This window comes from Homo sapiens, chromosome 1 (assembly GCF_000001405.40).
Source record: "Homo sapiens chromosome 1, GRCh38.p14 Primary Assembly".
Taxonomy (NCBI): Eukaryota; Metazoa; Chordata; class Mammalia; order Primates; family Hominidae; genus Homo; species Homo sapiens.
Window position 1 is genome coordinate 2,158,886 of NC_000001.11, and position 27,116 is coordinate 2,186,001.

Below are 27,116 nucleotides of genomic sequence, written 5' to 3' on the forward strand. Positions count from 1 at the left end.
CATTCACAGTTGGGAATAATTCCTATGCATGTCTGATTTTTTTGCCTTTTTTTTTTTTGAGACGGAGTCTTGCTCTGTCACCCAGGCTGGAGTGCAGTGGCACGATCTCGGCTCACTGCAACTTCCACCTCCCTGGTTCACGCCATTCTCCTGCCTCAGCCTCCTGAGTAGCTGGGACTACAGGCGCCTGCCACTACACCTGGCTAATTTTTTGTATTTTTAGTAGAAACGGGGTGAGCTCCGGGTTGGGGGGAGGACCGGCAGCTGCCTTAGTCCAATAGCTGGGGGGCTGTGAAAACTGCCCACAAATTCTTACTGACCACACAGCACCAGACACCCACGTGAAGCAAAGCCAACATCGGCAAGGCGGCCACGCGTCCGGGTGGCGGAAAAGTCTGGCCTGGCCCAGGTGGGTGTGCTCGGCTGTGCCGCCTCTGCTCCCTGGTCACTGGAGGTGACTGCAGGCTTTATGAGGACTTCCTCTTTGTGCGTTGGTTCTGCTGGAACATCCAGCTGAGGTTTTGCGTGGGCCCCTTGCTGAGGGCCAGGTGAATAACACGCAGAACAGGACACTCCTTCGCTCTGGGCGGCCTCACAGCTCCCGGGCCATATCCAGGGGGAACCTGGCCGATGAAACTGCAGAGGTTTCCACACAAGTTTGGTTCCCATAAAGGGTCTGTGAGTGGGGAAGAATCAGAATTGCTTTCTTTCCACCCCAAATCTGGTCTTGCCTCTTCTGGCCGGCCATGTTCGTGTCCACTGGGCGGCTACAGGGAATTCCTGAATGTTACAGTTCAACATTAGTCTCACCTCGTGTGTCCAGATGGAGAGAAACAATTCATTCGCAGTTTTAAGACACAATAAGCACCTGCTTTATGGACAAACCATACCCCATATCTACACAGACAGCCCACCTTTTCCAGACAGCAGCCAAAATTGAAATGAGCCATAAAGTCTCCAAAACGAGAAATCGCTTCAGTTTAAGCTATTTCAGGAAAACCAGGTAACTAGAGATTTAGCTGAAATGACTACTTTCAGCGTCCCCCGCCCCATTCAACTGGAGTCGGAGGACACTTTCTCACTAAGGCACGGTGATCTCAGATGGTAGGTGAGCAAACTACCCTTAAAATACGCCCATTCACTCGCTGTTCTAAAATAAAATCTCTTACTGTTTGCCACGGTTGATTATTTTACATTCATTCACACTCAATGTTTCTTTAAAAAGAACAAACACACACCTTTGCTTATCTGTGGAAGCGCTTCTCAGGCCGTGCACTGACTGAGACACTTGAGTAAGCTCTTCTTGGTCAAACTGACTTCTAGACATGAAAAGCACTTCACCCAGCAGTGTGCGTGTGTGTGTGTGTGTGTGTGTGTGTGTGTGTGTCAGTTATGCTTTGAAACCTGCCCGAAGCTCTGGAGAGGGAGACAGCTTTACTAACAGCAGAGAGTGACGTCCCTGGAACTGGTCACCAGCGTCAGGAGGCGTGGCACCCGGGGAGGGTCCGCAGGGAGCAGAGTGGGACTCCGTGGAGAGGGGGGCAGGCAAGGGTTGGGTCACGTAGGAGGGGCTCATGGGGGACAGGCCTGTGGGAAGGACGAGGGCAATGGTGTGTGTCAGGGACAGAAGAGAACCAGGCCTGAAGGTGCCAGGGGCTTTCGAAGCTGGACTTGGCCAAGAGGCCCTGGGATGCGGAGGCCCCAGGGATTCTCAGTGCAGTGCTGGTGTTGGGCAGGCACTCGTGTGAGGAGTAGGATCTGGGCCGCAGAAGCCAGAGGGACCTGCTGGGCCTGTCATGGCCTGGAGGGAAGCCTTAGGGGGTGGGGAGGAGGGGCCTGTCCCCATGTGGGGGAGTCACCCCGGTTCGCAGAAGTCAGGGCAGTGCTGGCCAGACAGGCACAGAGCGGAGCCAGCCTGGACGTGGAGGACTCGGGGGTGCTGTGGCCTGGGATGGAGACGCCCCGCCCCGCCGGGGGTGATTGTGGTTGTGGGTGTGTGAGAAAGAGGTGAGGGTGTGACGGGGTCTGACCCTGGGGTGCTGCCTCCTCAGGGCTGCAGGAGGAGGCGCCGCCGTCGGGGTGGAGGCAGTAGAGGGAAGGGCTCAGTGGGTGCCACAGCAAGGACAGCCTCGGCCGCGACCTTGGGAAGGGCAGGTGCCTCTTCTTGGGGAACATGAGTCACCTCCCTTTCAAAACCCATCCGTGTGCTGGAGTCATGGGAGCTCAGAACAGAAGGAGAGATCCTGACTGACACCCGTAGGGCCCAGCGTGGGCGCAGCCGCCTCAGCCTTTGTTCTGCCGACACACGGTGACGGCTCAGCGGCCCCCTGATTTGCTCACTTTTCATCGGGGTTGCCTAAAATGGTAAAAGTGCCACCCTAAACCCTAGCACTTCCGGAGCAGGACGCTTGGGCCTGTGGCCCCCACAAGGCTGTGCACGGGAGAAGGGGCTCTTCCCAGCATCAGGGGCCTGGCAGGAGCCAGGGGCTTGGTTTGCCTTTTGCATTGCGAGGGCGTCCTGCACTCTTCGGGAACACTGCGGACAGCTGCGCATGCATCCTCCCAGAGCCCTGGGCAGTGAGGGGCCCTCGGGGACCCCCAGGACATGGGCTTTGGGACACACCTGCAGTGTACAGGGGGCCCTGCTGTTTCCTGATGTGGTGTCACAGGCCACACAGGACTGTGCAGAACACGGGAGAAAGGGATGCGTTGTCTGTAGTTCTAATCGGGAGGCACTGGCCGCTCTTAGAACAGGTCAGGGGGCAGGTGTCATTGCCATTCGGGGTCACGTTAGGACCGGGGGACCTCCACTGCAGGCTTGGAGATGATTTTGCTAGTAGTGAGCAGAGATGAGGTCATGGCATCTCCCCTTCTCCATCCAGACCCGAACGTCCCATGCCACTGCGCCCTGCATGGTTCCCAGGATGAGCAGGGATAGGGGTGGCAGCCCTGGAGCCACCTGGAGTCTCCTTAGTTGAAGGAACTTTCAGGACCGGTCCTGAAATTGTGCCTTTGCTGCTTAACTACTAGATAACGACAGAGACCACATAAAACAAGAGCCTCTTTATAAACTTGTATCCCATTTTAACGTGCAGGAAAGAACCTTCGTCCGCACTCCAAAGACCCTTGACTAACCAGCGTCACCATCCAGACAGTTTTGCCTCGTTTTTCCTTTTCTCTTGTTTATTTTTCCATGTGGACTTTATAATCAACCCGTCTGCCTCCAGAAAGAAAAAGAAACTGGGATTTTCTTTTCTTTTCTTTGAGAAGGGGTCTTGCTCTGTCACCCAGGCCGGAGTGCAGTGGCGCAATCTTGGCTCACTGCAACCTCCGCCCCCTGGGTTCGAGGAATTCTCATGCCTCAACCCCCCGAGTAGCTGGGAATACAGGCCCCTGCCACCACACCCAGCTAATCTTTGTAGTTTTAGTAGAGACGGGGTTTCACCCTGTTGGCCAGGCTGGTCTCAAACTCCCAACCTCAAGTGATCCACCTGCCTGGGCCTCCCAAAGTGCTGGGATTACAGGTGTAAGCCACTGGGCCTGGCCCGAAACTGGCATTTTCATTGGGATTTGTTAAGTTCACACATTACCTGGGGCGAAATTGACATCCTTCTAAGTGTTGGATCTTCCCATTCAGGAACCCGGTTTACCTTTTCATTCACTCACATCCTCTTTCAGGAGACTCTTGAAGTCTTCATGTGGTTTTCTTCACTTCCTTGTCTAATTATTATTATTATTATTTTTACAGATGGGGGTCTTGCTATGTTGCCCAATCTGGTCTCAAACTCCTGGGCTCAAACGATTCTCCCACCTCAGCTTCCCAGAGTGCTGGCATTTCAGGCGTGAGCCACGGTGCCTGGCCACTTCCTTGTTTAATTTTGTCTTGAGTGTTTCATCTCGTTTCTGTTATAAACGAGGTATTTTTTCTTCTCTCAGAGCATCCAGCAGCAGGCAGCTTGGTCTCTGCGTGGTAACTGTGGGCCCCATGGCTTCTGAGTTCTCTTCCTTGTAGTAACTTTCATGGCTTCTGAGTTCTCTTCCTTGTAGTAACTTTCATGGCTTCTGAGTTCTTCCTTGTAGTAACTTTCAGGTGGTTTTCTGGGGCTTTGGATGCACAGGGTTAGCATCTGCAGGTGGGGCAGCATCACCCACCTCAGCCGCTGCAACCAGGTCGTGCCGTCTCTGTTCATCTTCCTCTCTGGTGACAGTGGCCAGCACCTGCCTCACTGGGGTGACGTTGACACTGGACGGCCCTGTCCTATTCCTGACCCCAGCTGGAACACTTTGCACCGGAAGCGCAGTGCCATCCTCAAGGCAGAACGGAAGCATTTACCCATCTCGGGCAGGCAGCATTTGCCCTGGCATGTGCAAAGGGTGTTGGGAGGGCCACAGGGGAGAGGAGAGACAGGGGCTCTGCCTGCAGCCGTGGAACTGGGTTCTGGAGCCCACAGAGGAGCTGTCCCTGCCTGAGCTGTTGGAGACGGGAACGGACCCTCCCAGTTCCTGGGCCCATCATCTGGTCTCTGAGGACACCTGCTGGCAAAGGCCCTGGCAATGATACATACAGCCTCTCAGCCCCCAGCCACTGGGAGAAGGTTCTAGAAAGGCTGAGCAGCAGCGTGAAGCTGAGAGAAGATGACCGATAACTGCATGCAGAGGTGTGACTTGTCCTATTAAGGGACTTTCCACCCATTTCTGTTTTGCTATCAAGAAAAAACACTGAGGCCGGGTGCGGTGGCTCACGCCTGTAATCCCAGCACTCTGGGAGGCCGAGGCGGGTAGATCACGAGGTCAGGAGATCAAGACCATCCTCGCTAACACAGTGAAGCCCCGTCTCTACTAAAAATACAAAAAAAAAAAAAAATTAGCCAGGTGTGGTGGTGGGTGCCTGTAGTCTCAGCTACTTGGGAGGCTGAGGCAGGAGAATGGCGTGAACCCGGGAGGCGGAGCTTGCAGTGAACGGAGATTGCACCACTGCACTCCAACCTGGGCGAGAGAGCGAGACTCCATCTCAAAAAAAAGAAAAAAAAAAGAAGAACACTGCAAGTTGTGCAGGGGCCTCCTTGCCATTTGTGGAGATCATTGTTACGATTTTTACTCCTTAGGGCCTCCTGGAATGAATGGTGTCATCGTAATGTAGCTGCTGGTATTGAACCATCCTTAGATTCCTGGGGAAAACCGTGCCCTGTCTTAGTGTGCTACTCTGTTAATGTGCTTCTGAATTCAATTTGCTGATATTTTATTTAGGATTTTTTTTGGTTGATATTCATATTGTTTTAGTTTAGAATCTTCAGGACACAGAGCTACTGCTCCAGTGATCAAGGGAGACACAGGATGGAAACACACCTTTTGTCACCCACAGGCCTTGGGGGTACACAACCTGCTGGGAGGCCAGGGAGCGTAAAGAGAGACAGGGACCCTTTATTGGGTCCAGGGTGTTCTGCACACAGGTTTCCCATGGGAAGTTTTAACTGATGGACTTAAAGCAAGCAGGCCTGAGCTCCGTGGGGCCACACTGTGACTGTCGGGGGACTCTGCAGTGTGGCTGCACAGTCCATGTTGGGTGTGGTATCAGTGGGGCTGCAGGGAAGTCACCAGGGGGCAGTTGCATAGGGTGGGTGTCTGGATGGGCCAGCTCGAGGAATGGGGGATGTGGAACTGGAAACTGTCAGGGCGACAGCCCTGCTTCTGGTGGGAGAAAGTCCAGCTTAGATCCAGAATGGATGCCGAGGCAGCCTAAAACCATGAGCGTTCCCTGCACACTCTGGCGTCTGATCTCTAGCTTCCCTTTCTTGTGCAAGCTTCATTGGATTTTTAAATTTTCCTAATTTTTCAATTCCCGGGAACATTCTAAATTGCGTTATTACCTCTTGGCGGGATCCCTGTGCGATTGCCGGGCCTTGGGTGTCGTGGAGGGCAGCTGCCTCGCTCCGCCCTGGCTTTCGTGATGTTGTGAGCTTTACCCTGCCGAGGCTGGGTGTTCTCACCCAGTCCCACGGCTGCACCCTGCCTTGCCTTCTCCTCTGCTCAACTTCACCCCAGGCCGTGTCTCCTGGCTCCAGGAAGGTGAGGGGCTGCCTCCCATGCGTCCTTTCATGTTGAGGACACCCGTGTTTGCCTTTGCACGTGAGCCCCATTGTCGCTGGGACACACTGCCCTCCAGTGCTCGAGTGCATTTCCTGGGCACTTTCTGGCCTTTTATCTTTGATGGAGAAATCCGAGGCCTGCCAGCATCCCCACCAGTAGATTTCTTTGGACGAAGTAAAATCCTTCTGTGGATTCAGCTTTACCGCCTTTCCTCATCTGCTGGTGTCTTCCTCAGAGCTTTAATGTCCGTCCTGCTCTCCGAGTCAGGAATCTGATTTTCCAGCGTGCCCTGTAATGACGGTGCTGTCACCGCTGTGATGTCCGCTGTGAGGTGGGGACAGGACCTGGAAGTGGGGTTTCCAAGTGAGGGTTCTGGGCCCGCCCGAGTCATCTGATGTTGGGTCTGACAAGCCAGGAGCTGTGTGAGCCGGAGAACGTCCCCTAACCTGTCTGTGCCTCGGCTTCCCCATCTGTAAAATGGCGAGAGCTGAACTTACTTCCTGGTGATGGGGTCAAGTGCGTTAACACAGAGGGACTTGGAGACTGACGCTTACTGAGGGCCACACCAGCGGTCAGCAAAGGTTGTCTTAAAGGGTCAGGCAGTAAATATTTCCACCTTTGTGGGCCATGCGGCCTCTGTGGCAACTATGCGTTCTAAAACAGAAGCAGCCTTAGACACTGCGTGAAGGGACGCGTGTGGCCGTGTTCCACCAGAACTTTCTGTACACACATGGTGGTGGCCCGCCCGGACCCATCTGGTTAATTCTTGACTCTCAGGGCAGCGTCTCCTGTGCCTCCAGGAGAGGGCTGTGGTTCCTCCCTCTGAGCCGGGCACCTTGCATTCCTGGAAGGGGTGGGGGGAGTGGCGAGGAGGGGGCGGCACCAAGGACAGGGCCCACCTCCTAGGAGGTTTTGTGAGCTTCCCTCAGCCCCCGGCCGCCCCCTAGGAGGTTTCGTGAGCTTCCAGCATCCCCCTGCGGCCACTGTCCCTCCATTTCCCATGTCTGTTGGATGGTGCCGGTTCCAGGGCAGGGTCAGGGACTGGATCCGGCTGCGGTCTGCGTCTCGCCTGGTTCCTGAGAGCTGCACTTTGTCTTTGGTTGTTGATGAATCCATTTTTGCTGGCGTTCTTCACGTTTGTGTATTTGATTAAGTATCATGGACAGGCATGTGCAGTGGCTCACACCTGTAATCCCAGCCCTTTGGGAGGCTGAGGCCGGAGGATCACTTGAGGCCAGGGGTTCAAGACCAGCCTGGGAAATATCTCGAGACCCTTTCTCTACAAAAAATTTAAAAATTAGCTGGCGGTGGTGGTGCAAGCATGTGGTCCCAGCTCCTCGGGAGGCTGAAGCCGGAGGATTGCCTGAGCCTGGGAGGTCGAGGCTGCAGTGAGCCATGATCACACCACTGCACTCCAGCCTGAGTGACAGAGTGAGATCTTGTCTCAGAAAAACAGCCCCGAGGGCACGTGTCTCATGACTCCCGCCTCCCGCCTCCCATCTGGGCTCTGCTTGCTCCTCTCCCCTTGCAAACATGAGAGGAGCGTTAATGCCAGGACAGGGAGCAGGGAGGGGCATCCCCAGCGCCTCCAGGCCACAACATGGCGAGTGTGGCTACCAGGACACGGAGGGGCAGCCTCAGCCCCCTCCCCCAGGCCACGACATGGCGAGTGTGGCTACCAGGACACGGAGGGGCAGCCTCAGCCCCCCCCAGGCCACGACATGGCGAGTGTGGCTACCAGGACATGGAGGGGCACCTTCAGCCCCCCACCCCCACCCCCAGGCTGTGCTTCCCAGCATCCCTTGGGGTCAGGACTGTGTGTGTCACTGAGGGGCTACGGGTGAAGCCACACACGCCCCTGGCCTGGCCTTGCGCCCCTGCCTGAGAGCCTCTATGCAGGACAGCGCCTGTGGGGCACCCAAGTGGGCCGAGCCCATGTGGATTACAGGTGCACACCACCAGCGTGAGGAGAGGAGTGGGCTCGGAGCATGCTCAGCCATGGTCCCAGGCATCTTGTCAGCAGCCAGCTCAGCTTGTGTCACGCAGAGTCGCCTTAGAGTGAATTGACACCAGATTGTCCTGGTGGGTTTTTGCTCTGAAGAAATGTCAAAAGTAGCATTAAGGTTTTTCTGTAGACAAAAAAACCCCACCATCATTGCAGCTTGAGCAGTTGCAAATTAAATAAATTCCTTCCTCAGCAAGCTGCCTGGGTCCTAGGCCTTGGGCAGAGAGAACTGGCTTTCAGCACAGTTCCCGTGATTGGCTTTTCTCTGGAGAAGAAGGGGAAGCGGCCTCCGCCTCTACCTCTCTAAGTGTTTAAATGTCCCCCAAATTCTCTCAGCCTCCTGAGGCATTGTATTGATGCTTTTCTCTAGAATTCATGTATTTCTTTATTTTCTCTGGAAATGGCATTGGCTTTGTCCCCGTCCTATGGGCCGTGATAGCTTAAAGTTAGGATGAACCCACAGAGGCCGTGGAGGCCCTTCCCAGGCGCCGCAGCAGCACTGTTGGGGTGAACGTGGCTCCTCTCGGGGGGACAGGTGGAAGGGACCAGCACCCATTGGGGCGTGTAACTCCTGGTGGCAAAAAATGTGCGGTGAAGTCACCCTAAGGGTTTTTGTGGTTTTTTGTATTTTTATTTTATTCTTTGAGACAGAGTCTTGCTCTGTCGCCCAGGCTGGAGTGCAGTGGCGCAATCTCAGCTCACTGCAGCCTGTGCCTCCTGGGTTCAGGCGATTCTCCTGCCCTCAGCCTCCCGAGTAGCTGAGATTACAGGTGCACACCACCAGCCCTGGGTCATTTTTGTATCTTTAGTAGAGATGAGGTTTCACCATGTTGGCCAGGATGGTCTCGAACTCCTGACCTCAGGTGATCTGCTTGCCTTGGCCTCCCAGAATGCTGGGATTACAGGCCTCGTGAGCCACCACGCCCAGGCACTCTAAGGGTTTTGAATAAATTCTTTCTTAACGTTTTCTGACCGACTCTTAGGTCGTGGGTGTCCTCCAGGGGTTGGAGGCCTTCATGGAGCTTCGTTCCGTGGGGTTGACGTTACTGAACGAGTCCCTCCACGGGTGCACTGAGGACGTTCCTGCACATCGAGGGCACCCTCAGAGCTGCTCTTTCTGTCATTGCTATTTTGTTTATACCGGGGATTGGCAAACTTTTTCTTGAAGGGCCCAAGAGTAGACATTTTTGGCTTTGCGGCCACAGGGTCTCTGTTAGCAACTCCCTCTGCCACGGTGGCTGGAAAGCAGACATAGAAAATAGATGCACCAGTGAGCATAGCCTCGTTCCAATAAAACTTTATTTACAAAACAGGGAGCAGTGGACCAGCGAGTCCCCAAGGACAAGGGCCAGGTTACCAGAGAATTTCCAGGCACATCCGTTGGAGGCAGGGGAGACAACAAAAGCCGAGGAACGAGCCTTCCCCAGCCGCTCCCCAAAGGCACGGCTTATTCTTCAGGGTGCCCGACTGGCCACGTGGACGTCTCTCCAGCTCCTCACTTGGGGCCCAGGGCTCTTTCGATTTTTAGGAGTTTGTTTCCAATCAGAAACTTCACAGATGATTTGCAGCCAGTTCACCTGCCCTGTGTAAACTGGCCTCTGTCCTCTCTGGCTTAATTCTGGGAGCTTGTGGAGGGCAGGAGCAGGGACAGGTGCCTTGAGGCGTAACAGTGGCGGTGGTGTGGGAGCTTGCGTGGGATCGAAGGAAACGGGCAGAGTCACCACACGCTTCCCTCCTTCACTCCCCGCTCCACGAGGGGCAGCCAGGAGCAGCCACCAGTCGGAAGCAAATAAACAATTCAGGTGCCAGAGGAGCCGCTGACCTAAAAAAACCCGCCACAGGGTATTTCTGGGAGATTGTATGAGAATTTAATTTTGAAAATTGAGTCTCATGAAATGTAGGAAAAGATCTTATTAGGAAGAGAAACCATGTGGCCCAGTCCCTGAGACGGGAAGGGCCTGCGTGGTCCTGATGACATCTGCGGATCTTTTAAAATCATACGATCATGTCTGCGAAACCGGGATGCCACTTCCCACCTGGCTTCTCCCTGACCCCAGCTTGTTCCCTTGGAGGGCCGGTGGACTCCTCAGCCTTGCAGCAATGAAATCAGGCCTTGAGGCCACCCCACCCGTGACCTGCGGTGCTGTCCCCATGCAAGAAACTGCCTCGCTCCAGCCCCCAGCAGATCCTGTCCCAGCCCCCAGCCCTGGTCCAAGCCACCTCCACTCCCACCTGGTGACGGGCCACCTCCTTCATTCCGGGGCCCACCCACACTTCCCAAGTCCACACACAGTGGCCAAGAGTGAAGGCCGGCGAGGCCCCCGCATGACTCCCTCACCTGCACCCTTCACGAGCGGCCCCGCAGCCCGTCCCCACCAGCCCCTCTCTGCTGCCAGGGTGCTCCTGCTGCTCTTTGCTCTTTGCAAGACTGAACCTGCGGGAGGGTTCGGGCCCACGAAGGCCGCTTCTGTGGGGCTTCTGTCTAAGGAGGCCGCCGTCTGCCGAGGTGACTGCAGCCTCCGGCGCCTCTCTCCCTGCAGGTTGTTCCTGGTCATTGAGTACGTCAACGGCGGGGACCTGATGTTCCACATGCAGAGGCAGAGGAAGCTCCCTGAGGAGCACGCCAGGTGGGTGCGCGTGGACGGGGCCGGGTGGGTGCGCCCGGAGTTGGGGATGGGTGGGTGCGTGCGGTGTTGGGGGGCTGGGTGGGTGCGCACAGAGGGATGACGGGTGGGTGCGCGCGGAGTTGGGGGGCCGGGTGGGTGTGCGCAGAGGGGAGGTGGCTGGGTGGGGTGTGCACGGAGGGGGTATGACGGGGGCGGGGGGGGCGGGGTGCACGTGGAGGGGGCCGGGGACCTTCTCCAGGGGTCAGCAGGGAGCTCAAGGGAGGGAAGTCCAGGTAGGATGGCAGAGGGCATCATGTCCCCCACAGTGTGACGTCCCCTGCATTGTGACACATTCCATATTTGCTCCAGAGTCACAACATTTGGGAGGTCTCCTGAGTTATGGTGCCTCAGACCAGTCCCCCAGGCCCCACCCCTGAAGCAGCACCATGCCTCATCCGAGAGAAGTGAGAGTCTCCTGGGATTGTGCTGTCTTCATGGTGGCTCTGCCCTGGTTCTGCTCTTCACCCTGTTAGTGGCACAGCATGGCCAGCATTTCCTCAGCGTTAGGAGCAGAACGAGAGTGGTCTGTTTCTAGAGTGACCTGAGAGACTCCTTCCTGCCCTTCCCTTTCATCTCTGATATCTTCGGGCCTCCCCTGGCAGCCGAGGGGCCTCCAGCATGGTTCAGGAGCCTCCCCCGGCAGCCGCGGGACCTCCAGGACCGTTTGGGGGCTTATTTCAGCTCCCTGGACCTTTCCTGTCTTTTGTAGTTTCTCCTTTTCCTCATTTCCTTACTTAAGAACGTTGCATGCAGTTTTGTGAGTCACCTTAGATTGTTTCTGGCAATAGGACAGTAGGCAATAAATCTAGAACAGTACACTTCCCACAACGCTGTTTTTAAAAACTGTGGCAACACACAACATAAAAGGTAGCATTTTGGGGCATGGAATTCAGTGGCGTTGAATGCACCCCATGCTTTGCAGCCACTGCTGGCCCCCGTCTCATCTCCAGAGCACGCCCCTCTTCCCTGCTGAAGCTTGGCCCATCAGACACTCCCTCCCTGTCCCCCGCCCCAGCCTCACATCCTCACCCCAGACGGGCACGTCCCACTTTCTGTCCCTCTGATTCGAGGACTCTAGGGACCTCATCGGAGTGGAATCACAGTGTTGGTCCTTCGGTGGCTCATTTTCCTGAGCATAGCGTCCTCAAGATTCATCCGTGCTGTGGCCTGTCTCAGAATTGCCTTCCTTTTTCAGGCTGGATAATGCCCCGTTGGATGGAGGGGCCACACTTTGCTTATCCGTCCATCCCTCGGGGGGCACTTGAGTGGCATCCACATGTTGGCCATGGTGAACAGTGCTGCTGTGAACATGGGTGTGAAGTAATCTCTTGAACACCCTGCTTCCGGTTCTTTGGGGTATACACCCAGAAACTGAATTGCTAACCACATAAGAATTCCATATTTAGGCCGGGCGTGGTGGCTCACGCCTGTAATCCCAGCACTTTGAGAGGCCAAGGCGGGCGGATCACGAGGTCAGGAGATCGAGACCATCCTGGCTAACACGGTGAAATAACACAGTGAAACCCTGTCTCTACTAAAAATACAAAAAATTATCCAGGTGTGGTGGCGGGCGCCTGTAGTCCTAGCTACTCGGGAGGCTGAGGCAGGAGAATGGCGTGAACCTGTGGGCAGAGCTTACAGTGAGCCAAGATCGCGCCATTGCACTCCAGCCTGGGTGACAGAGTGAAACTCTGTCTCAAAAAAAAAAAAAAAAAGGTCATATTTAATTTTTTTTTTTTTTTGATGGAGTCTCGCTCTGTCACCCAGGCTGGAATGCAGTGGTGGGATCTCAGCTCACTGCAGCCTCTGCCTCCCAGGTTCAAGTGATTCTCCTGCCTCAGCCCCCAGAGTAGCTGGGACTACAGGTGTGCGCCACCATACCCGGCTAATTTTTTTGTATTTTTAGTAGAGACGGAGTTTCGCCATGTTGCCCAGGCTGGTCTTGAATTCCTGACCTCAGGTGATCTGCCTGCCTCGACCTCCCGAAGTGCTGGGATTACAGGTGTGAGCCACCAAGCCTGGCACCGTGTTTAATTTTCGAGGACCTGCCGGACTGTCTTCCGCAGCAGCGGCGCTGTTCTGCACTCCTACCACAACGTGCCATGGCTCCGGTCTTTCCCGCATGGAAGCTGTCGTGTTATTTGCCCGCTCCTCCCCTTGTGGAGGCTGCCACATCGTTCTCTGTGTCTTTGACAGCAGGCCATCCTAAGGCGCATGGGGTGGTGTCCTGGAGCTTTCATTGGCATTTCCCTCCCTGGCCCTGTGCACTGCACTTTCAAATCCTGGGCCTGGTCATTGAGAGGATGCCGGGCCCGTGGTGGGGCAAACGGGAGTGTGTGGCCCCCAGGCTGGAGCTGTTGGCGCAGCCTCTGGCACAGGCACTGCCCCCATGACGGCATCCCCACCCCCAGGTTCTACGCGGCCGAGATCTGCATCGCCCTCAACTTCCTGCACGAGAGGGGGATCATCTACAGGGACCTGAAGCTGGACAACGTCCTCCTGGATGCGGACGGGCACATCAAGCTCACAGACTACGGCATGTGCAAGGTGCGTGCCTTGGACCGCCTCCCCTGACCATCCCGCATGTGCGTCTCGGGGCGCCTGTCCCGCGGGGTAGTGTCTACAAGAACCCTCTCCCAGTAACTTTGCCCCCACAGGAAGGCCTGGGCCCTGGTGACACAACGAGCACTTTCTGCGGAACCCCGAATTACATCGCCCCCGAAATCCTGCGGGGAGAGGAGTACGGTGAGTGCCGCTGCCCTGGCCCCTCTCGGAGCACACAGGGCCAGAGATGGCTTCGGGCCTGGCCCAGCAGCCAGGGAGAGGTGTCCTTGACCATCTTACACCCAAAAGCCACACACTGTCTTTCCCAGCCGGATGTCATCATCTGGCCTCAGCCCCTTATTTGAATTCTGGAAAACCTCCCATGTCCACTTGAGCAGCTCCTTGGGGAGGGCACTGCACAGGATTCCTCCTGCCAGGGAGCCCCGGGGCACAGGGAGGGGAAAGACACAGAAAGCGGGGGTGGGACAGGGTGCAGCACCTGAGTCCCCGTGCTGCACGAGTGGCTGGGGGAGAAGCTGTTGTCTGGGGAGCCCCAGGGGGTGCAGGAGCGTGTGGACAGGACCCCACAGGCCCTGCGGCTGAGGACGCCGTGCACACCAGAGTGTTTCTGCTCCTCTCCCCTCTCTGGGCGTGAAACGGGGACATGGGCACGCGTGTGCAGCCGTGTGTGCGTGTGTGAAACGGGGACGTGGGCACGCGTGTGCAGCCGTGTGTGCGTGTGTGAAACGGGGATGTGGGCACGCGTGTGCAGCCGTGTGTGCGTGTGTGAAACGGGGACGTGGGCACGCGTGTGCAGCCCTGTGTGCGTGTGTGCCGTTGGGCTGAGTGTTCGTGTGTCGGGCATCCATGTGTGTTGTGTGCACATGCATACTGTGTTTGTACACACTCCACCCACTTCTGCATCCTGGTGTTTTCAATGAGGCATGCATGGTGTGCCTTCAGACATTTTTACACATTTTTTTTGCCATCAGAATGGGTGTGGGGCAGGCAGGGCGGGCAGGTCACTCGCCGCTGGGATAACTGGGCTCCCCAGCGGCCACAATGGAAGTCTCAGTAGCCAGAGAAGGACAGACAGCAGATTGGAGGACTGGAATATAGTCTAGAACCCAGCTTGGGATGGGGATTCCGTGTGGGACAGCGGCAGCGTCTCACCTCAGCAGGGACCAGGGGGACTTCCGGGGACGCAGAGACAGCTGCTGTCCTTGGGCAAAACGGGTCAGGGTCTCCCACCCCTCATTCGCTGGAACACATTCCCAACAGGTTGACTACTTGAACCTTTTTAAAAAACAAAATGGCTGTAGAAGGAAACACAGGAGAGTATTTCCGTTACTGCAGCGAAAGGGCTTCTTCAAGCTTAGTTCTGTAGAAGCAGAAACGAGAGAGGAGGGTCGTCCGCAGGTTCCACCAGTGCCTCGTGCCGGTGTGGTCACAGGTGCCCTGGCAGGACCGACAGCCCAGAGGCAGCCTGGGAGACCTCCGTAGTGTCAGGGACGGTGGCAGGGAGGCCGAGCTGCCAGGTGGAGGTGCTGGTTCTGTTTGGGAAGTGGAAGTCACAGAGGCCTGTGTGCCGCCTGCTCAAGCCTGGCTCACACTCGTGTCAACTGGGCATGAAAACCAACGCCAGCCAGGTTCGTCCTGCTGCCGGCCCATGTGGCCCCACTCGGTGATGGCTGTGTGCTCTCCCCCAGGGTTCAGCGTGGACTGGTGGGCGCTGGGAGTCCTCATGTTTGAGATGATGGCCGGGCGCTCCCCGTTCGACATCATCACCGACAACCCGGACATGAACACAGAGGACTACCTTTTCCAAGGTGCGTGCCCCGCTGTGCGTTCGTACCCCTCACCTGCACGACTGTCTTCCTTCCTTTTCAAAGGTGCAGGTGGAGGGGTCCCGCGGGTGCCTGGAGCGGCAGTGCCATGCAAAGCGTACCGGGAACCATTCCTCCTGGCCAGACCCTGTGTCACATGCCACTCCCCGGGCCGTGGGGTGGGGTTACCACACCTGTGGGTCAGCAGGAAAGAGAACCTGTCCCCATTCAGCTCCAACTCCCTCCTGCCCTGGCCAGCAGCACATGCTGGAGCCCCAGCATGTCCTTGACCGAGGCTGTACCGAGCTGAAAGCACAGCCCCCACCCCCAAAACCCACAGCCACCATCATGGGCTCCTTCCCACCTGGAGGCCCCGGGACCTGCTCCTGGTCTGGAATTCAGTGCTGTGGGGATGTGGGATCTGGGAACGCGGCTGTCTCCGCGGTGCCCTCTGGTGGCCAGCCTGCAGAGGCACCCGTGTACCTGCGATCTTGGGGCTGAGGAAGGGGAGCTGCTGGTTCACGTCCGATCCTACGACACGTGCCAGCGCATGTAACCAGGAGGCCCAGGGAGGACCCGGCGGGACTCCGGGTTATAGATATTGCTGGGCTGTAGGAAGGGAGGGGCTCCGGGGCCCCAAGGCTGAGCTCCCAAAGCTCTTGCTCAGAGTCAGAGTCTGGGCGGCACTGGGCAAATGGCACACAACACAGGCAAGTCCTCACCAGGCTCCGCCCTTGCAGTGATCCTGGAGAAGCCCATCCGGATCCCCCGGTTCCTGTCCGTCAAAGCCTCCCATGTTTTAAAAGGATTTTTAAATAAGGTACGTTTCTGGCCATGCTGACAAAATCTCGTTTGTGGCCTCGGTGTTGGTGGGCAGAGGGCCAGGCACGGCTGTTGGCCATTTTTTCATGTCGGCTGCTGTGTATCGGGTGTGTGGGTTGATTTTCCGCTTCAGTATTTGAGCTCTGTGTTCTGTGAATCGTCCGTTTTTACTCACACCTAACAAAATGAGAATGTGTGCCCAAGGAAAATGGAACGGAGCTTAACGTACGGGGAAGGAACTTTCAATAAAGGAAACATCTGATTTCCACCACCTGGGTCAGAGCATCGGGGGAGGGCTTGTCAGCACTGGGAGTGGCCACCAAGGAGAGGGGGTCATGGGGCTTCCGGGATGGGGCTGACTTGTCCTTGTTTGAACTCTGACCTCCAGGACCCCAAAGAGAGGCTCGGCTGCCGGCCACAGACTGGATTTTCTGACATCAAGTCCCACGCGTTCTTCCGCAGCATAGACTGGGACTTGGTAAAGCATCACAAAGCCTATTTGCACCCCCATCCCCATCCCAACCCCAAATCTACCCAACCCCCATCCCAACCCCAACCCCAATATTCACCCAACCCCCACCCCACCCCATCCGAACCCCAATATCCATCCCAACCCCAAATTCATCCAACCCTCACCCCACCACCAACCCAACCCCCAGCCCAACTCCCACCCCAACCCCCAACTCAACCCCCACCCCAATATCCACCCAACCCCACTCCAACCCCTACACCCCCAACCCCTCCAACCCCTATAATCTGGTGGACAGAGCCGGGGCTGTGTGGGCCGGGTGGGCTGTGTGAGCTCGCGCACCGCCGGGCTGGTCTTTGACATGGCCCCACTTGCGTGGAGCCAAGGCTCCTGTCTCCCAGAAGGGTCAGCTGGGAATGGGGGACCACCCTCCAGGGCCCCGAGGAGGGATGGGGAGACACATTTCGTCCTCCGGAGCCAGGAGAGTGAGGGGCCGGACGAGCTCGGCCCATGGCGCTTCCTGGCAACCCTCGACTGTGCTGGCTTGGTGCCGCCAGGAGCTAGCGGCACATGCGTCCTGACCTGTGAGCACATTGGCTGTTGGTTCCACAGGGATCTGATAGTGGGGGCCGGCCTAGAGAAGGGCGTTTGCTTTGGTTTCATGGCCGGTTTTATCAGCAGTTACTGGACAGGACCAGCAGTCGCAGCGTTCACGGCTTGAGCTTTAGCGTCGGGTATTGAAGGAGAGTGAGTCTGTGGACAGGGTGCGACGTACACTGGCTCGATTTAGGAATCTGATTTCGGTGGTGTGTGAGCAGGGTGCATTCGGTAGAAACTACTTTGAGTTTTGACCGTTCCCCAGCTGGCCGTATGAGGTCAGTACTCTCCTGTGATGAGGGGCGGTGACTGCAGCCCCAGCGGGCCACGTGATCAGGAGGGGGCCGAATGTCCCGAGGGGCTCTGCGTGCAGGGGGTTTTGCCGGACTGTAGGCTGGCGTGTGTCTGTCAGGTTAAGGCAGGTAAGGCTGCGCCGCTTGGTCGTGGGTTCTGTGTGGAAGTGCAGTCTCCACCCAGGATGTTTCCAGCGCCGCTCGGTCGTGGGTTCTGTGTGGGAAGCGCAGTCTCCACCTAGGATGTTTCCAGCACATGGAGGGTTTATTGGGAGGTGACCTTGTCTGAAGCTGAGGAGCGTCTGTGGAATTTGTTTCCAGCTGTGTAAATGGTTGCAGAGCTACTGAAATAAAACCTTTAAAATACACTCTCAAGGAAAAAAGCAGATTGGATAGCTCGTTCAGTGCATTTTGGAGGAGGTTGAACTGAATCAGGAGAAAGCCCAGCTCTAGCTCTGTCCTCCACCCCACCCAACTTTTCCAGGCAGCCTCGGCCAGCGTGGGAGGTCACTCCCTGGCCCCTGTGGTCAGTGGGGGCCCTTGTCCACACAGCCCAACAAGTCACTTTCTAGTCGAAGGCCTTGCTTTGCCTGTGCATGTGTGGGACCGTGGGGGAAGGTGGGGAGTGAAGTGGTCAGAACGTGCCCACACCCCTTCCTACATACAGCCCTTCCAGAGCCCAGCTGGGCTGCTGCCAAACTAGGACGGGGCCATTCTCTGTCGTGCGGTTGTCAGATGCACACACTTAGAAATGTTCTGAGCATAGGCACCTGCCACGGAATCACCTTCGCAAATTCTTCATTTAAATTTATGCCTCTGGTAGCATAAGGGAGAAGAGATCTGCCTTTGGTTCTAACTGTCAGTCATCCTCACGCCCAGGCCGGGGTTAGAGGTGGCGTCCCTTTTCTCTGGCTCAGGCACCCCTGGCCTAGTGGGGTTACTGGTGGCGTTCCCCTATCTCAGGCCACACCTGGCCTAGCTGGTGTTAGTGGTGGCATCCCCTTGTCTCTGGCCCACAGAACCCCTCCGGTCCACACACACACTCAGGTCCAGGTACCACCCGGCTGAACCCGTAGCAGGTGCTTAGTAGAATTACGTGAGGAGCCAGCATCCCCGCTCCCAGCCACCTCCCCTCGCCCGTCTCAGCTCAGTCTCCCCCGTGCCTTTCCCACCCTCTCTCTTCCAAGCCCACCACCGTATGGGGCCCACCAGCACCATGGGATCCAGGGAGAGCCCGATCCTGGGTGCAGCCTTGGTGCCAGCCGGGCCCCTGATCTTGTCTCTCAACCACTCTTGGTTTACCGGGAGTGGACAGATGAGGACAGATGGCTGCCTGTGGAGTGACGGGCTCCTTCTCTTCGGAGCACTGTCTAATCTGAGTGTGAGTCCAACCCTGCCCGAGCCGGAACTCAAGGAGACCATGAAGCCACCCTTGGCCTCTAGCTGGGAGAGGTCTGCGTCCCTGCAGCGAGCACGCCAGGTGATCTCTGGCACACACTTGCCGCGGGCTGTCTCTCGGAAGGTAGTCAGCGGCCCTGGCTTCCCACCTGGGTCCCACCACTGCAGAATCACCCCCGTGGCTGCCCACAGGGGCGGCTTCCATCACCCTGCTTCTTCCTGGCTGCTGCGGGCTGTGTTGTGACTTCCATCCCAGCCTGAGAGGCCTGCGAAGGGCTTGCCACCGACTGCCAGCCCTGCCTCTGCCACCGACCGCCGGCCCTGCCTCTGCCACCGACCGCCGACCCTGCCTCTGCCGTTTCCTTGCCACCCATCAGCTCTTGAGGCTTTTAGGAAGAAGTGTGGCTGTTTTGGCCAGATTGCTTTAGCTGTCCTCAGCAGGGTTGGTGTGGGGTCACCACCACCCCCATGTGACCTTGGCAGAAGGAAGGTCCTCCTCCCATTCACCCAACGCCTGCAACTCAGTGGTTCTGAGCAATCCCAGAGTTACATGACGTCATCGCGATCACTTTCATCACCCTGTACCCAGAGAAGACCCGAACCCACTCCAGCCTCTCCCCACACCCTGCAGTGGCTGCTCCGCCAGGCTGTGTGGCTCTGCCTGGTCTGCACATGTCATGGAAGTGGACCTGGGCACACCGCGGCCTTTCGTGCCTGCCCTCCCCTCAGCATTGTCTCCACAAGCTGCACCCACACAGTAGCACGTGGCACTGCCTCCTTCCTGCGCTGAACCCCACCCACTGCGTCCACTGCGTGGAGACTGCACCTCTGCATCCGTCCTCAGTGGACATAGGGTGGCCTCCACTTTCTGGCCATTGTGAATTGTGCTGCCGTGAACACCTGTGAACCCGCTTCTGGGTGGACTCGTGCTGCTGTGAGCACCTGTGAACCCGCTTCTGGGTGGACACGTGTTTATTTCTCTTGGGCACGTGCTCAGGGCGCAGTTGCAGGTCCGGTGGTCTCAGTCTAGCCTTTCAGGGGGGCCACCTGTTCCTGCAGCGGCTGCTTTCTGGTCCCTTTGGGGGCCCCCTCAGTCTGTGCTGGACTTAGTTCCATGGCTGTAGTGGGCACAGCTTGAGAACAGTCCCTCGGTGGGTGTCAGCTCCATGTGGGAGTGGGGCACGTGTGAGGCCTTGGTCCCCACCTGTGGACTCAGGGTCTCTTTCACGGACTGCGGGGAAGGCAGTGGGAGCAGCAGGAATGGATGGTGAAAGGACACAGTGCCCGCCCCCCGAGTGTCCGAGGGTAGAGCTGGGACAGGGTCACAGTCACCCCAAAGCCGCCCCCTCCTTGCCTATCCCCAGCTGAACCAGCACCACTCAGGCAGTCGCCGCCACTGGGGTGTGACTCTGGGGCCCGGCACCGGGTCCCCAACACTGCTTTCCTCCTGGAGCCTGGCCTCTGCACACTGCCCTGGAGAAGAGAGGCAGTGTGTGTGCAGAGGGCCCCGTCAGCCAGGCAGATCCACCTGCCTTGCCCCTGCACTGGGAGGTGGCGCTCATCTTGTCGGGGGCTCCCATGGGCCGTGTCTAGACCCCACCCTCCGCCGGTCCAGGCACATCCTCAGGCTCCTAATCCTGAGTCCTCCGGTTTGGCTGTGGGAGCAAAGGCCGTGGGGAAGTTGCTGGGCCTGTCCCGGGTGAGCTTTGAGTGATGGACAGGCTCATTCTGAAGGAACTGGGTCCAGACAGCACGTCCTGGCCTGGTGGCTGGGGCTGCCACTCTAAGAGGGTCCCCATCCCCGCAGGATCCCCGGTACTTGGCACACTGCAAAGCCTGAGTATTTGTGGATCACGTGATCTGTGCTAGTGACTATCAGGAGTCTGAGATTTGAAGCGATGGATTTCCCAGCATGGTCCCAGCTCCCCACTGATGTGAAAGGTGGTGGTGAGTTAACAGCTGAGCCACCACCTGCTGCCCAACCCCACGTGTCCCACATGGCCGGGCGGTGCTGCGCTAACTCATCTCCCCCTGGATGGAAACGTTTGCGTGGTGACAGCCGATTCTCTTGAGAGTCATTTGCTGCCCATGTTGCTGGGGAGATTCTGCCTCAGGGCCAGGAGTGGTTTGCTCCTCCCACCCCGGGCCCAGGGCTGCTGGTGGGAGGCCCCAGGGAGGAGCAAGGACTCTAATGCTTCGTGTGGTGGGAGCCTCAGGACTTTCCCACGTGCGACAGGCACGTTCCTGGGAGCTCGGTGGGAGGAACCCAGCCACGTTGTGTGCTGCGCAAGGAGCCGGCGGCAGGGAGGGGAAAACGGAAAGACGCAGAGGAGGGCAGGTGACAAGAGGCCCACAGAGAGATGGCTGGGTCTGGGCAGCGGGTGGGAGCAGGAGGGAGGCGGTTATGGGAGACGTGGAGCAGTGGAGGCCGTCAGAAGTGGGGATCACAGCTGTGACCTCATGGAGAGGGACAAGCCCCACAGCTGGGCTGGTGCCAGCTCCACTACCCAGGGCCAACCTGTGTGGCCGTAAAATTCTCAAGCCTGGAGTGTGTAGAAGGCAGCAGTGCCCTGGCCTGGCCACCCGCGAACCCCTCTGTCCACCCCATGCTGCGTGGCACAGGGCAGGCGTGGGGCCTCTAGCTGGAGCCTTGAGTGGGTGGATCCTCGGTGGGGCTTTAAGGCCAACCTGTTTATGAAAATGCATGGGGACTGACTGCAGATGCACAGACAACTCAGATGCACAGACGCCCGGACGACGTGGACACCCAGACGATGTGGACGCACAGACGACATGGACGCACAGACGATGTGGATGCACGGACGACGTAGACACACGGATGACTCATCCACAGATGACTCAGATGCACGGACACCCAGACGACGCGGACGCACAGACGACGCGGACGCACAGATGACGTGGACGCACAGATGACGTGGACGCACGGACGACGTGGATGCATGGACGACGTGGACGCACAGATGACCTGGACGCACGGACGACGTGGACGCACGGATGACTCAGATCCCCAGACGACTCAGATGCACGGACACCCAGATGACATGGATGCACGGACGACTCAGATCCACAGATGACTCAAACGCACAGATGACTGGGATGCTCAGATGACCGCTGCTGTGCTGCCACCCCAGGGCTCTCTGGGCGTTTCCTGTGGTTTGGGCACCAGGAGCCTGGGAGTCCCATGCTGCCCCCAGGGCACTACCTCCTGGGCCCAGCCCTGCATCCGGTGGCAGGGCTCACCGTCATCACCCCAACAGTGCAGGGTGGTCTCAGGGACCTCCTCTCATCATTGCCAAGAACTGGCTCCAGGATGTTTCCATGTGGCCGGCTAGTATGGCCAAAGTGGACCCTGGCGTGCTGTCCCCTTGGACGCCTCCAGGCCCTGCCCAGCACGTGGGGCTCGTCCATTCTGTGCCTGACCATGCTCTGCCATGCGGGGCCTAGCCCAGCCCCCCAGCCCTGCTGCTTCTCCCCACCCCACCCCCGCCACCTCCACCAAGCCACCAGCATCCTGCCTGGCCCTACGGACAGCAGGGTCGTCCTGTGTCCAAAAGCCTCCTCCCCCTCAGCCCCTTCACTCGGGTCTCATGGGGCCCCTCTGTGGCCCCCAGCGCACAAGGCACACACCCACTATGGGGCCTTTGCACAGCTGTGCCCTCCCCAGGCTCCAGCCCTCACCTCCCCCAGGCTATTTCTCAGATGTCCCTTCAGAACTAGAGCCCTTGGGCCCCCAGCCCCATTGACACGGAACGGGCCCCCTGTTGTATCTCAGGTCACTGCTGTGGTTGCAGCCACAGGGGCAACACCTGTTACTGCCACAGCGTCCGACCTGGGGCCAGCGTGCATTCAAACGCACTGCTCTGAGAGGCCAGGACGTCCATGGGTTGGGCGCAGGGGGCGGCGGTGGGAAAAGGTGTCAGGCACCATGGGTCCCGACCTGGAGCCCACGTGCCAGCTGCAGAGATGGGCACTGAAGGCTTTTGAGCAAGAGGAGGAGGTAACGCTGGCCCCTGGGGATGCTGTCAGGGAAACTGAGGCAATCTTGAGCCCTCGGAGCAGAGAACGGGCTGGGCCAGGGGCTGGAGGACCCTGGGCCAGCTCCAGCTGGGTCCTGCTCTGTTCCCACCCCTGCTGCTTATTAAACCCTTGTAAAGCAGCACAGGACTAAGGTAGGGAAAGTACTTTAGGAAATGCCCCTTTTTCACATTTTATCGGCAGGTGTTTCATACAAAGAATACAAGTAACTGATGAATGAAGGGGGCATCTTGTGTCCCCACAATCCTGCTGTGCGCACACCACAGGTGAGCCGTTCTGCCTAAGGGAACAGCCCCGGCCCCTCCCTCCGGCTCCTCCCCAGCACCGTCTCCTCCACCCAGTGGCCTGGCCGTGGATGCTGCCTGTGGCCCAGCTTTGAGACACCGCCCTGACACGTGTCCAGCCTTACGTGGAAGGATTTGTCTGTTTTGTGGCATCCTAGTAGATGCCACGTTAGTAGATGCCATGTTAGTAGAATGGATGTGGGCATTTCTTTGTAAGTTCCCAAAAGCCTATGAGGGTTTTTTCCACGATTCCGTTCCCAGTTTGGCTTTTGTTGTTGTTGTGGCTGTTCTTGGCCCCCCTGGGCCCTGCAGTGGAGTGGGGGGCTGCACCTGGGAGCCTCGAGCTGAGGCCCAGCCCCTCCTGCCCTGCATTTTCCTGCCAAGCAGCACCTGAGACTCTGAAGCCGATGCCTATACAGGCAGAAACCTGCCAATTCCAGCTTGAACGACTGGAGGGTCCTGAGGATGGGGGTCCCTGGGGTGCCATCATGGGCAGGGTGCATCTGTTTGGGTATGCTGCCCCCCAGCTGGCGGGGCACCGGGGACAGGCACAGCCACACTGGGGGCATTTCTGGTCTTGGAAGCCTTCTTGGCTCTTCCGGAGGGAAGGCGGCTGCTGGGTGCCCTGTGATCCACCCGCGAGCTGGGCTGTTCGGCTTGGTCTGCAGGGGCTGGGGGGCTGCATTTCTTTTCACCAGCTGCACCCACCCGGCCCCATCCTGGCTGGCACCGAAGGGAGCAGCGCGCCGTGACATCCTCCCCTCAAGCCTGGTGAATGGTGGTTCCATGAGGCTGGAGTCAGTGGGTGCCTGTTGTGACAGCTGGATTTCAGTGTTGGTACAGGAGCACACACCTAAGGGGCGGGCCAGTGAATGAGTGTGCGAGGGTGGGCTAGAGAACGAGCAAGGGAATGAGAGAGAGTGGGTTAGAGAGTGAGTGAGCCAGTGAATGAGTGAGTGAGCAGGAGTGGGTTAGAGAGCGAGGGAGTGAGTGAATGAGTGGGCTAAAGAGGGCCGGGCGCGGTGGCTCACGCCTGTAATCCCAGCACTTTGGGAGGCCGAGGAGGGCAGATGATCTGAGGTCAGCAGTTCGGGAGCAGCCTGGTCAACATGGTGAAACCCTGCCTCTACTAAAAATACAAAAACAAAATTAGCCAGGCGTGGTGGCGGGCGCCTGTACTCCCAGCTACTCAGAAGGCTGAGGCGGGAGAATGGTGTGAACCTGGGAGGTGGAGCTTGCAGTGAGCCGAGATCGTGCCACTGCACTTCAGCCTGGGAGACAGAGCGAGTCTCAAAACAAAAACAAAAAACAAAATTAGCTGGGCATGGTGGTGCATGCCTGTAGTCCCGGCTACTCAGGAGACTGAGGCAGGAGAATAGCTTGAATCGGAGTCAGAGGTTGCAGTGAGCCGAGATCGCGCCACTGCACTCCAGCCTGGGCAACAGAGCAAGACTCCATCTCAAAAAAAAAGTGGGCTAGAGAGTGAGTGAGTGAATGAGTGAATGGGAGTGGGTTAGCGAGGGAGTGAGAGGGTGAATGGGAGTGGGTTAGAGAGGGAGTGAGAGGGTGAATGGGAGTGGGTTAGAGAGTGAGGGAGTAAGCGAGTGAATGTCTCTTGGTGCTGCTGTAACAGAATACCTGAGCGAGCCTGGGTAATTTCTAGGGAGCAGAGTTCTTTCCCAGCTGTGGAGGTTGGGAGTCCAGGGTCATGGTGCCAGCAGGCTTGGTGTCTGGTGAGGCCTGATCTCTGCTTCCAAGATGGCGCCCAAACACTGCATTCCCCGGAGGAGAGAGGGGAGGAAGGCCACGTGTCCACATGGCAGAAGGCAGAGAGGAATCCATGCCCAAGCTGTCTTGACAGCTACAGGAGTTTGTCTGTGAGGGCGGGGCTCCCATCAGGTTCCACCTCTCTACACTGTTGCTCTGGGGAATGAGTTTCTCACTGTGAATCTGGGGGGCACATTCAGACCCTATTGTGGGTGAGTGGGAGAGCATGGCTGTGTCACTGGGACAAGTGGCCATGAGTCGGGGGAACTGAGGGGTTTTCAGTGTCCTCACCCGTATGTGTTGTGGCACCTGTGCCAGGCACCAGCGTTCTGCCCTCCCCGGCACAGGCGCATCACCGAGTCCCAGGCCCGCCTGCTGGGCATTTTCCTGCCAAGCAGCACCTGAGATTCTGAAGTCGATGCCTGGATAGGCAGAAATGGGCCGGCAGGAGGCTCCTGACAGACGGGTCTGTGCAGTGCCAGCGCAGGCAGGGTGCTGTGGCCAGGTCCTACACCTTTATGGTCAGGGTTCCAAGACGTCATGAGACGGCTTGTTCAGCCAGTTAGTTGTCGGTGCCCCTCTGAACAAGGACCCCCCCAAGGAAGGGGGTGGCCTCGCATGGGTGGCTGGGGATCCTGCTCCGTCCCACATGTGGCCAGCATGGCCGACACTGGCATTTCTCAGCTCGACAACAATTTTTCTGACTTTGGATATTTTCTAGATTTTGTGTTGTAAGAAAAAACACTTGGCAGTCAAATACTAGGCAGATTGAAATGCTGACTTTCTCACTGTTTCATTTTGTGATTGAAGTGCGTGCAAAACACTCAATCTGGTAGGGATGATGCCCGCGCGGAGCTGACCCTTCTCCTATTGTTTTTCCAAGCTGGAGAAGAAGCAGGCGCTCCCTCCATTCCAGCCACAGATCACAGACGACTACGGTCTGGACAACTTTGACACACAGTTCACCAGCGAGCCCGTGCAGCTGACCCCAGACGATGAGTGAGTCCCACTGGGTGCGGGTCCCTGGAGCACCCCTCGGGCAGCCCCATGGCAGGCCGGCACCTTGGGCAGCTGGTGACCCAGCCTGCCCTTGAGTCCCACCCGCCTGGTGTCATCTCTCCAGTGGGCGTTGGGGGAGGATTCTTATGCGAACGTGACTCCGCTTCCCCCAAGGGAATGAACACACGGTCACCCCCCTCCCCCCTGCCACCTTTGCCCACAGGGATGCCATAAAGAGGATCGACCAGTCAGAGTTCGAAGGCTTTGAGTATATCAACCCATTATTGCTGTCCACCGAGGAGTCGGTGTGAGGCCGCGTGCGTCTCTGTCGTGGACACGCGTGATTGACCCTTTAACTGTATCCTTAACCACCGCATATGCATGCCAGGCTGGGCACGGCTCCGAGGGCGGCCAGGGACAGACGCTTGCGCCGAGACCGCAGAGGGAAGCGTCAGCGGGCGCTGCTGGGAGCAGAACAGTCCCTCACACCTGGGCCCGGGCAGGCCAGCTTCGTGCTGGAGGAACTTGCTGCTGTGCCTGCGTCGCGGCGGATCCGCGGGGACCCTGCCGAGGGGGCTGTCATGCGGTTTCCAAGGTGCACATTTTCCACGGAAACAGAACTCGATGCACTGACCTGCTCCGCCAGGAAAGTGAGCGTGTAGCGTCCTGAGGAATAAAATGTTCCGATGATGTGGAAGCTCCTCTGATGCCTTTTTTCCGTGAGTGGCGCCTGCCCCACATCTCAGACGCAACCCACACGTAGGGGGGCAGCTTAGGAGCCAGCGGGACACAGGTGGGGGCGGGAGTTGAAGTACCTGTGGGGACACACCGCAATCAAGAATTGTTTCCTAAAAACCCCGGTAAGTTCCTGTTGTTCTTCCTGCAGAGTGTGTCCCAGCCGCTGTGGTCTAGGGTGAAGTGACACCTTAAGCAGATGGCAGCTGGGCCAGCCAGCTCACTGGACCGATGGGGGAAATTGGATCATAGAGATTCTAAAACGTGGCCCACCAAAGCACAGTAGACCAAAAAAGAGAAAAAACTGAACACTAAATCTGCACAAATCATTTCTGACCACACTAAGCAGTGCCTGCACGATGCCTCGTGCGACGCATTTGATTTTTGGAAGATATTCTTATCTGTCACACAGCACTGAGAGTTAGGGAAAACTAAAAGATGTGCATGTGACGGACCCCAGCCTTAAAGTTGAACGTGATGACCCTACAAACACCCAGAAACACAGGCACTCTTCCCAGCGGCGCGGACCTCCTGCTCCCGGGAACACACCCGCGCTCTCCGTCCACCC

General features: G+C 57.6%; 2 protein-coding genes and 1 long non-coding RNA gene across 42 annotated transcripts in view, besides 3 other annotated features; 1 reads left to right on the forward strand and 2 right to left on the reverse strand.

The window, feature by feature from the left end:
- The window catches only part of PRKCZ (protein kinase C zeta), a 136,892-nt gene extending 110,382 nt beyond the window's left edge, over positions 1-26,510 (forward strand). For 10 of the 34 annotated variants that reach the window (XM_047425255.1, NM_002744.6, XM_047425262.1 and 7 more), the window contains 8 exons: positions 10,633-10,719; positions 13,170-13,305; positions 13,416-13,503; positions 15,012-15,131; positions 15,869-15,948; positions 16,339-16,428; positions 25,698-25,813; positions 26,037-26,510. In XM_047425255.1, the coding sequence (XP_047281211.1) occupies positions 10,633-10,719; positions 13,170-13,305; positions 13,416-13,503; positions 15,012-15,131; positions 15,869-15,948; positions 16,339-16,428; positions 25,698-25,813; positions 26,037-26,124 (805 nt within the window). In that variant the 3' untranslated portion in view covers positions 26,125-26,510. Of the gene's footprint in view, positions 1-9,405; positions 10,566-10,608; positions 10,720-13,169; positions 13,306-13,415; positions 13,504-15,011; positions 15,132-15,868; positions 15,949-16,338; positions 16,429-21,428; positions 23,030-25,697; positions 25,814-26,036 lie in introns of those variants that run through there. The other 24 variants (XM_047425260.1, XM_017001792.2, XM_024448391.2 and 21 more) reach the window with 9 other exon arrangements.
- Positions 14,961-15,127: a silencer, noted in NCBI's record as "fragment chr1:2105285-2105451 (GRCh37/hg19 assembly coordinates)". NCBI's record gives its function as "represses an EF-1alpha promoter that drives an FKBP-Casp9 reporter gene in an ReSE screen in HepG2 liver carcinoma cells {active_cell/tissue: HepG2}" and the evidence as "EXISTENCE:reporter gene assay evidence [ECO:0000049][PMID:32094911]".
- Positions 16,681-17,289: an enhancer, noted in NCBI's record as "H3K4me1 hESC enhancer chr1:2107005-2107613 (GRCh37/hg19 assembly coordinates)". NCBI's record gives its function as "activates a minimal SCP1, AML or CMV promoter by ChIP-STARR-seq in naive H9 embryonic stem cells {active_cell/tissue: H9 hESC(naive)}" and the evidence as "EXISTENCE:reporter gene assay evidence [ECO:0000049][PMID:30033119]".
- Positions 20,984-21,942: an enhancer, noted in NCBI's record as "H3K4me1 hESC enhancer chr1:2111308-2112266 (GRCh37/hg19 assembly coordinates)". NCBI's record gives its function as "activates a minimal SCP1, AML or CMV promoter by ChIP-STARR-seq in primed H9 embryonic stem cells {active_cell/tissue: H9 hESC(primed)}" and the evidence as "EXISTENCE:reporter gene assay evidence [ECO:0000049][PMID:30033119]".
- On the reverse strand, positions 22,909-24,990 carry PRKCZ-AS1 (PRKCZ antisense RNA 1). The gene is made up of 2 exons (NR_146290.1): positions 24,686-24,990; positions 22,909-23,856 (listed from the first exon to the last, which is right to left on the reverse strand). It is a non-coding gene; the product is annotated as a PRKCZ antisense RNA 1 (long non-coding RNA).
- The window catches only part of FAAP20 (FA core complex associated protein 20), a 28,244-nt gene continuing 26,719 nt past the window's right edge, over positions 25,592-27,116 (reverse strand). For all 7 annotated transcript variants that reach the window (NM_001146310.2, XM_047448526.1, NM_001256945.2 and 4 more), the window contains one exon: positions 25,592-26,628. In NM_001146310.2, the coding sequence (NP_001139782.1) occupies positions 26,393-26,628 (236 nt within the window). In that variant the 3' untranslated portion in view covers positions 25,592-26,392. The remainder of the gene's footprint in view (positions 26,629-27,116) is intronic.